Genomic DNA, 9,860 nt, shown 5'->3' with positions numbered 1-9,860 from the left:
ACCATGGAAATCAATGTGATGGGAGAATCAGCTAGAGCCTCGCGGATACGCATTTGCTGGGCCGACTCGCGTTGCGCTCCTGGAAGGCAGGCTGTGGCCTCTTTAAACAATGGCGACTGCACAGTGGCAGGGGGAATCCTGCTGCAGCCGCGGCGATGGCGGGATGCAGGTTCCAGTAGGGGGCGGCAGGGGAGAGAGGGCCACGGGGGTCCCAGGGCCAAATCCCGAGGAGTCCTGTCTCAAAGACTTCCTTAAGCTGACTTCCACCGGTGGAGGGAGAGCTTCAGGGCACCTGCTGGCATCTGAAGACCCCTCTTAAGATCCGATTTTGGACCCCTCCGGGTGAAGACGGATGGGCTCACCACATCTGCTGAGAAAAGAAGGGCCTCCTTGCAGGGCACAATGATCACATGGGCCTCAAGGTGTGGTGTCAGCAGAAAAATCACTAACCCATGAGCCCTCTGCCTCCCTCCTCCTTTGAAAGAGCAGTCGCCTGTCCCACTTGTAAAAGCTCTGGGGCCCTTGCAAGCTGACACCTCTTTTCAGGACACATGCAAACAGGGACAAGGGCGATTCCGAAGTGGAGTCAATTCCAACATGCGTGGCACTGGCGTATCCCAGAGCAGATGGTGTGAATGTGTGTCACTGAAGGCATATGGGGTGATGGTGAAACACAAGATGGTGTTCAGGCATGTGCCAGGTGGAAGGGGGGCACAAGTGACCTTTCCATCAATGCCAAGGAAAATCAAAGAACACCTGGATCCAGGAGGAGGCCAAAAGATTCAGGGAGTCAGTCCACCCAGGAGCAGAGGAGAGAATGTTTCTCAATAATGAGACTGGAAGTGCAGATGAAATGTGACACTGCCTGTCTTAGAAGACTAGGCTGGTCACAGTGGCCTACCGCTCATTCTAGGCAATCCACCAACCGATGAGGTGGAACATGGAGACCAAGGTAGCTTGCTTATCTGAGACAGCTATGGAAGTCAATCTCTCCAGGGTCATCCAACCAGCCCAATTAAGCAGAAACAGATTGGCAGAGAGAAAAAATAGTGATGCGCATGTCCATCAAGTGTCTCCCTGATGGACTGGAAAGTGATCTTTGTTGAAGACATTCAGCTAGACCTAGATGCATCTAGGCACCACAGAAACAGGGGAGACAGAGCAAGAGGGAGGACAGAGCAGGGGCCAGAGCTCAGGTAGGATACAGCACTTTGCCACCCCCATGGGCACAAGGGGAGGGGGGCCTAACCAGTGACTTGTCCAGAGAGGCCAGCGTTCCCGTGACAGGGATTGTTGCCATCTCCCATTCCCGGCTTCCTCTTCAAGACTGTATCATGGTGTGGCTTCATTTCTCAGAGAAGAGCCATGAAAAGATGCAATCATCTTCTTGGACGTGTGTCTGCTCCTCTCCTGCAGGACAGTGAGCTCCTGTGGGGCTTTTGTCCTCGGGTGGAGTGTGGTCATCTTGACCCTAGAAAAGAGGCCACTCAGGATGGGGATGATAGTTCAATTGCTCCGGGACCGACGCGTCTCCTCACGTGATCGAGGCCTTCACAAACCCAAAGTGGAACGGCCAGGAAAATGACTGACAGCTGGCCACATGAACCAGGCAGAGATGCAGAAAGAGGCTCACCAAAGACCAGCCGACATGCAAGAAATCACTTTCTGGCTCACAGGCACATACGTCCAAACACACACACACACCAGAGCATGCACACACAAACACACACACACACACACAAACCGACAGAGAGAGGGAAAGAAACAGAGTGAGAGACAGCGAGAGAGGAGAGAATGGGAGACACACACACATACACACACACACACACACCGTCACATGGCAGTGGCATGGAAACACACCCTCCTCAGACCGAATGCCACCCCTGAGGCTGGAGGCTTCTGCTCTCGATGAGAACGACCCTTGGGTGACAGAGCAGCCCAAGAGCACACAGGCAGGCCTGTCCTAGAGATCACGGGGGCACGACTTTTGGGGAGACTCACCTGAACACCGTCTGGGCAGGCCTGAGGCTAGGCTGCCGCGGTGCTTCCCACGGACTCCGCCAGGGGGTTTCTTCGTCCTGGTAGGCCCTTTGTGACTCTTGGCATCCAGAGACGTTCCTGTCGACCCCGTGGAGAGGTCAGGCCAGAGCCTCGGAGTCCCGACGCCCAAGTACTGCCACGGAGGGCTCCTGCTTTGCCAAGCCTCCTGGACTGGTTTCTAAGACAACCGTGGGAATCACTGTGATGGGAGAAGCGGCTCGCGCCTCGCGCCTCGCGCATGCGCATTGGCTAGGCCGACTCGCCCTCCGCTCCTGGCAGTCAGGCGGAGTCCCCTTGAAACAATGGCAGCTGCGCGGTGGCAGGGGGACTCCTGCTGCAGCCTCCGCGGCAGCTGGATCCAGGACCCAGTAGAGGGCGGCGTGGGAGAGAGGTCCGCGGGTGACCTCAGGAGTCCTGTCTTCAGGCCCTGCTTGAGCCAACTTCCACCGATGGAGGGAGAGCTCGAGGGCGCCTGCTGGGGTCTCAGGACTCCTCTTTGAATCACATCTTGGACCCCTCCGGGTGAGAAAGGAGGGGATCACCACATCTGCTAAGGCAGGCAGGGCCTCACTGCAACACAGAATGTTCCCATGGGCCTCAAATCATGGTGTCAGCTGAAATTTCACTGACCCATGAGCTGTCTGCCTCCCTCCTCCATTGAAAGAGCAGTGGCCCGCCCCACTTTTAAAAGCCCTGGGGCTCCTGCAAGCTGATACCGCTTTCCAGGACAAGTGCAAACAGGGACAGAGGCGATTCCCAGGTGGAGCCAAGGCGACCACGTGTGGCACTGGCGTATACCAGAGCAGATGGTATGGATGTGTGTCACTGAGGGCATATGGGGCAATGGCAAAACAAGCAATGGTGTCCAGGCATGTGCCCGGCTGAAGGGGAGCACAAGTGACCTTTCCATCAATGCCAACCAAAATCAAAGAACACCTCAGATCTAAGACGCGGCCAAAAGATTCAGGGAGTCCGTCCACCCAGGAGCAGAGGAGAGGATGTCCCTCAAGAATGAGACAGGAGATGCAGAGGACATGTTTCACCACGCCTGTCCTAGAAGACAAGGCCGGTCACGGTCGCTTACCGTTGCTTCTAGGCAATCCACCTACACATGAGGTGAAACATGGAGACCAAGGTAGCTTCCCTGTCTGAGACACGCATGGAAGCCAAGAGCTCCAGGGACATCAAACCTGCCCAATCAAGCAGAAACAGGTTTGGAGAGAGACACAATCATGACACGGATCTCCAGGAAGTGTCTCCCTGACGGACAGGGAAATGATCTTTGTTGAAGACATTCAGCCAGAGCAAGAGGCATCTAGGCGGCTGAGAAACAGGGGAGACAGAGCAAGAGGGAAGGCAGGGCAGAGGCCAGAGCTCAGGCAGGATACAGCACCGTGCCACCTCCACGAGCATAAGAGGAGGGGGGCCAGAAGTGTGGCTTGTCCAGAGAGGCCAGCGTTCCAGTGACAGGGATTGCCAACTCCCATTTCCGGATTCCTCTTCAAGACTCTATCGTGATGTGGCTTCATTGCTCACAGAAGACCCGGGAAAAGATACAACCTCATTTCTGACGTGGGTCCACTCCTCTCCTGCAAAACAATGAGCTCCTGTGGGGCTTTCGTCCTTGGCTGCAGTGTGGTCATCTTGATCCTAAAAATGAGGCCGCTCAGGATGAGGATGAGATTTCAATTGCTCCGGGACCAACGCATCTCCTCACGCGGTCGAAGCCTTCACACAGCCAAAGTGGTACCAGGGTGAAAACGATTGACAGCCAGCCACAGGACCCAGGCAGAGACACAGAAAGAGGCTCACCAAAGAAAGGCTGACATGCGAGAAATCGCTTTTTGGCGCACAGGGCACATTCGTCCAAAGACACACTCGCACACGGGCACACACACACAAATGGACAGAGAGAGGGAAAGAAACACACAGAGAGTGAGAGACAGAGACAGAAGAGAGAATGGGAGACACACACACACACACACACACACAGAGTCATACAGCAGTGGCACAGAAACACACACCCCCAGGCAACACCTGAGGCTGCGGGGTTCTGCTCTGGATGAGAACGACCCTCGGGTGAGAGAGCAGCCCAGGGGCACGCAAGCCGACCTGTCCTTGAGATCCCGGGGGCACGACTTTTGGGGAGACTCACCCGAACACCGTCCGGGCAGGCCTGAGGCTGGGATGCCTTGCTGCTTCCCCTGGACTCCGCCCGTGGTCTCATCGTCGTGGTCGGCTCTTTGCGACTCCTGGCATCTGGAGACGTTCCTGTCGACCCCGTGGAGCGGTCAGGCCGGAACCTCGGAGTCCCGACACCCAAGCACTGCCAAGGAGAACTGCTTTGCCAAGCCTCGGAGACTGGTTTCTAAGACAACCGTGGGAACCACTGTGATGGGAGAATCCGCTCACGCCTCGCGCATGCGCATTGGTTGGGCCGACTAACGCTCTGCTCCTGGCAGTGGGGCTGCGTCCCCTTTAAATAAGGCCGTGGCTGCGCAGCAGCAGGGGGGCTCCTCCTGCAGCCTTGGCAGAGGCTGGATCTGGGGTCCCGTTTGGGGCCGCGTGGGAGAGGGGGCCGCAGATGTCCTGGCCCAGGGCCAAACCCCCAGGAGTCCAGTCTTCAGGACCTCCTTGAGCCGACTTCCACCGATGGACGGGGAGCTTCAGGGTGCCTGCTAGGTTCTCAGAACTCCCCTTCAGATCCGATTTTGGACCCCTCTGGGTGAGAAAGGATGGGTTCACCACATCTGGTGAGGCAGGCAGGGCCTCCCTGCAGCACAGAATGATCACATGGGCCTCAACGCGTGGTGTCAGCTGAAAATTCACTGATCCCTGAGCCCTCTGCCTCCCTCCCCCTTTGAAAGAGCAGTGGCCTGCCCCGCTTCTAAAAGCCCTGAGTCTCCTCCAAGCTGACACTGCTTTTCAGGACACGTGCAAACAAAGACAGAGGCGATTCCGAGGTGAGGCCAATGCGACCAAGCGTGGCACTGGCGTATCCCAGAGCAGATGGTGTGAATGTGTGTCACCGGAGGCATATGGGGCGATGGCAAAACCAACAATGGTGTCCAGGCATGTGTCCGGTGGAAGGAGGGATCAAGTGACCTTTCCATCGATGCCAAGGAAAATCAAAGAACAACTGGGAACCAGGAGGGGGCCTGTGCCTGAGTCCAAGCCACATTTTGAAATGCCTGCCAGAGGATTAAAGAGGTTTCTGCAAAATTCACCCCACCCCCAACCCTCCACGGCCCAGGTAGCCCTGACCCAACCTCCCCTGCAACCAGCCCCAGCCCCAGATCCAGACCCAGCTCCAGCCCCAGCCCAGTCCCTTTGGTTCCTTTCCCCGATATTCTTTACCATCAAAAGATCCAGGGAGTCAGTCCACCCAGGAGCAGAGGAGAGGATGTCTCTCACAAATGAGACATGAAGTGCAGAGGAAATGGGACACCACCTGTCCTAGAAGACAAGGCCTGTCACGGTCGCCTAGTGCTCATTCCAGGCAATCCACCCACCCATGAGGTGAAACACGGAGAGGAAGGAAGCTTCCCTGTCTGAGACAAGTGTGGAAGCCAAGAGCTCCAGGGTCGTCAATCCTGCCCTATCAAGCAGAAACAGGTTGAAAGAGAGAAACAATCACGACAGGGATCTCCAGGAAGTGTCTCCCTGACGGCCTGGGATGTGATCATTGTTGAAGACATTCAGCCAGAGCAAGAGGCATGTAGGCCCCTCAGAAGCAGGGGAGACAGGGCAAGAGGAGGGACAAAGCAGAGGCCAAAGCCCAGGCAGGATACAGCACTGTGCCACTGTCACGGGCATGAGGGGAGGGGTGCCAAAAAGGTGGCTTTTCCAGAAAGGCCAGCTTCCCAGTGACTATCTGTGAAAATGCCTTGTGATGTGTGGGTTATCCCTCAGAGTTAAACATTTGTTTTGACTTAGCATTTTGGAAACACTCTTTTTCAAGGATCAATGAAGGGATATTTTGAAGCCCATGGATGAGTGTATTGATAAACTAAATATCCCACCATAGAAACTATCAACAAATTATTAGTGAAAATGCTCTGTGTTGTGTGGATTCATCTCACAGAGTTAAACTTTTGTTTTTATTCTGCAGGTTTCAAACATTCTTTTGTAGAATCTACAAAGGAACATTTCAGAGCCCACTGAGGCCTATAGTGAAACCTGAATATCTTGTGATAAAAGCTAGAAATGAGCTATCTGTGAAAATGTTTGTTATGTGTGAATTTATCTCATAGAGTTATACCTATGTTTATATACAGCAGGTTGGAAACATTCTTTTAGTAGAATCTAAAATAAGAAATTTCTGAGTCCTTGAGGCCTATTATAAAAAAACGAATATCCCTGATAAAAACTGACAACAAATTATCTGTGAAAATGCTTTGAGATGTGTGGATTCATCTCGCAGAGTTAAACCCTTGTTTTGGTTCAGAAGGTTGAAAACACTCTTTTTGTAATATCTATGAAGGGAAATTTTGGAGCCCATAGAGGCCTATACCAAAAACCAAATATCCCAGGATAAAAACTAGAAACAAGCTATGTGTGAAAATGTTTTGCAATGTTTAGAATCATCTCACAGAGTTAAACCTTGTTTTGATTGGGCAGGTTGGAAACATTCTTTTTGTAGAATAAAGGAAGGGACATTTTGGAGCTCATTGAGGTCAATAGTGAAAAACCACATATGCCATGATAAAAACTAGAACAAGCTATCTGTAAAAATGTTTTGCAATGTGTGGTTTCATCTCACAGAGTTTAACCTTTATTTTGACTTAGCAGGTTGGAAACACTATTTTTCTAGAATCTGCAAGGGGTCATTTCAAACCCAATGAGGTCTGTAGTAAAAAACTGAATATCCCACGATGAAAACTAGATACTAGCTATCTGTGAAAATGCTTTGCAACGTGTGGATTCATCTAACAGAGTTGAATGTTAGTTTTGATTCAGCAGGTTGGAAACTTTGCAGGTTGGAAACATTCATTTTGTAGAATCAAAGGGGGGACTGTTCTTAGCCCCCTGAGGCCTATAGTGAAAAACCAAATATCCCATGATAAAAACTAGAAACAAGTTATCTGTAAAAATGCTTTGCAATTTGTGGATTTGTCTCACAATGTTAAACCTTTGTTTTGATTCAGCAGGTTGGAAACTCTCTTTTTGTACAATTGATGAGATATTTCAAAGCCCATTGATTGAGGCTTATAGTGAAAAACCTAAAATCCTAATAAAAACTATAAAGAAGCTATCTCTGAAAATGCTTTGAGATGTGTGATTTCATCTCATAGAGTTAAATCTTTCTTTTTATTCAGCAGGTTGGAAACATTCTTATTGTAGAATATACGACAGGACATTTCAGAGCAAATTGAGGCCTGTAGTGAAAAACAGATTATACTGTGATAAAAGCTAGAAAAAAGGTATCTGTAAAAATGCTTTGTGATGTGTAGATTTATCATACAAAGTTAAACCTTTGTATTGCATCAGCAGGTTGGAAACTCTCTGCTTGTAGAATCTGTGAGAGGTCAATTTGGAGCCCATTTTGGCAGGTAGTGAAAAACAAATATCCCATGATAAAAACTAGAAAAAGCTATCTGTGAAAAAGCTTTCTGATGTCTGGATTCATCACACACAGTTAAATCTTTGTTTTGATTCAGGAGGTTGAAAACACTGTTTCTGGAAAATCTATAGAAGGCAGGTTGGAAACACTTTTTTTTGTAGAACCTATGAAGAGACACTTTGGAACCCATTGAGGCCTGTAGTAAAAATACAAATGTCCCATGATGAAAACTAGAAAAAGTTTTATGTGAAAATGCTTTGCAATGAGTGGATTCATCTCCCAAGGTTAAAGCTTTGTTTTGATTTAGCAGATTAGAAGCACTATTTATGGAGAATCTACGAAGGGACATTTAAAGCCCATTGAGGCCTCTTTTAAAAAATCGAATGTCCCACAATGAAAACTAGAGATAAGCTATCTGTGAAAATGCTTTGTGATGTATGGATGCATCTCCCAGAGTTAAACCTTTGTTTTTATTCTGCAGGTTGCAGACAGTCTAATTCTGGAATGTGTTAAAAGACATTTCAGGGCCCATTGAGAACTATAATAAAAAAACAAATATTCCTTGATAAAAACTAGAAAAATCTATCAGTGAAAATCCTTTGTGTTGTGTGGATTCAACTGAGAGTTAAAATTGTTTTGATTCAGCAGGTTGGAAAAACTCTTTCTTAGAATCTATAAAGCAACATTTCACAGCCCATAGAGGCCTATAGTTGTAAAACTAAATATTCTGCTATAAAAACAGGAAACAAGCTATCTGTGAAAATACTTTCCAATGTGTGGATTTATCTCACAAAGTTAAACCTTTGTTTTGTTACAGCAAGTAGAAAACAATCTTTTTGAAGAACATTCAAAGGAATATTTTGAAGCCAATTGAGGCCTGCAGTGGAAAACAAAATATCTTATCATAAAAACTTGAAACAAGTTATCTGTGAAAATGCTTTGTGATGTGTTCATTCGTCTGACAGAGATAAACCTTTATTTTGATTCAGCAGGTTGGAAACACTCTTTTTGTAGAATCTAGGAAGAAACATTTTGGAGCCCATTGAGGCCTATAGAGAAAAACCTAATATCCTGTGATAAAATCTAGAAACAAAATGTCTGTGAAAATGTTTTATGATGTGTGAATTCATCTATCAGAGATAAAACTTTTTTTGATTCAGCAGGTTGGAAAAACTCTTTGTAGAATCTATAAAGGGATATTTCAGAGCCCATTGAGGCCTACTGTGGAAAACCAAATATTCTGCAATAGAAACTAGAAACAAGCTATCTGTGTACATGCTTTGCCATGTGTGGGTTCATCTTACAGAGTTAAACCTTTGTTTTGATTCAGCAGGTTGAAAACCTTCTTTTAATAGAATCTACAAAGGGATGTTTCAAAGTACATTAGAGGCTATACTGAAAAACCTAATACCAGTGATTAAAACTAGCAGCAAGCTACCTGTGAAAATGCTTTCTGATATGTGGATTTGTCTCACAAACTTAAACCTTTGTTTTGATTCAGCAGGTTGGCAACACTCTTTTTGTACAACCTATGAAGGGACATTTTGTAGCTCACTGAGGCCTATAGTGAAAAAATGAATATTTCAAGATAAAAATTAGAAACAAGCAATATTTGAAAATGTTGGTGGTGGGTGGATTCTTCTCACAGAGGTAAACCTTTATATTGATTCAGCACGTTGGAAACACTCTTTTTAAAGAATCTACAAAAGGACATTTTGGAGCCCACTGACAAGTATATTGAAAAACTGAATATGCCACGATACATACTAGCAACAATCTATTAGTGAAAATGCTTTGTGATGTGTGGATTCATCTCACAAAGTTTAACCTTTATTATCATTCGGTAGGTTGAGAACACTCTTTATGTAGCATATACAAAAAAAAAAGATATTTTCGTGAACATTGAGGACTAAAGTAAAACACCAAATATTTCACAGTAAAAACTAAAAACTGTCTATCTGTGAAAATGCTTTGTGAAGTGTGGATTTATCTCACAGAGTTAAACCTTTGTTTTGATTCAACAGGATGAAAACACTTTTTTGTAGAATCTATGAAGGGACATTTCAGAGCCTATTGTGGACTATACTGAAAAACCTAATATCCTGGCATAAAAACTAGAAAGAAGCTATCTTTGCAAATTATTTGCGATGTGTGGATTTATCTTACAGAGATAAACCTTTTTGTATCAGTTAAACCTTTTTTTTATTCCCCGCAAGTTGGAGTCCTCCCACCTGACCATGGGGCCATGTTGTGGACA

General features: G+C 47.5%; 1 annotated feature.

Moving 5' to 3' along the window:
- Positions 1,928 to 2,007: an enhancer, noted in NCBI's record as "active region_17680". NCBI's record gives its function as "activates an Ori minimal core promoter by ATAC-STARR-seq in GM12878 lymphoblastoid cells {active_cell/tissue: GM12878}" and the evidence as "EXISTENCE:reporter gene assay evidence [ECO:0000049][PMID:35858748]".

Source organism: Homo sapiens, chromosome 20 (genome assembly GCF_000001405.40).
Source record: "Homo sapiens chromosome 20, GRCh38.p14 Primary Assembly".
Classification (NCBI taxonomy): Eukaryota; Metazoa; Chordata; class Mammalia; order Primates; family Hominidae; genus Homo; species Homo sapiens.
Note: the sequence above shows the minus strand (reverse complement) of the source record. Positions and strands in the feature narration are given on the sequence as shown.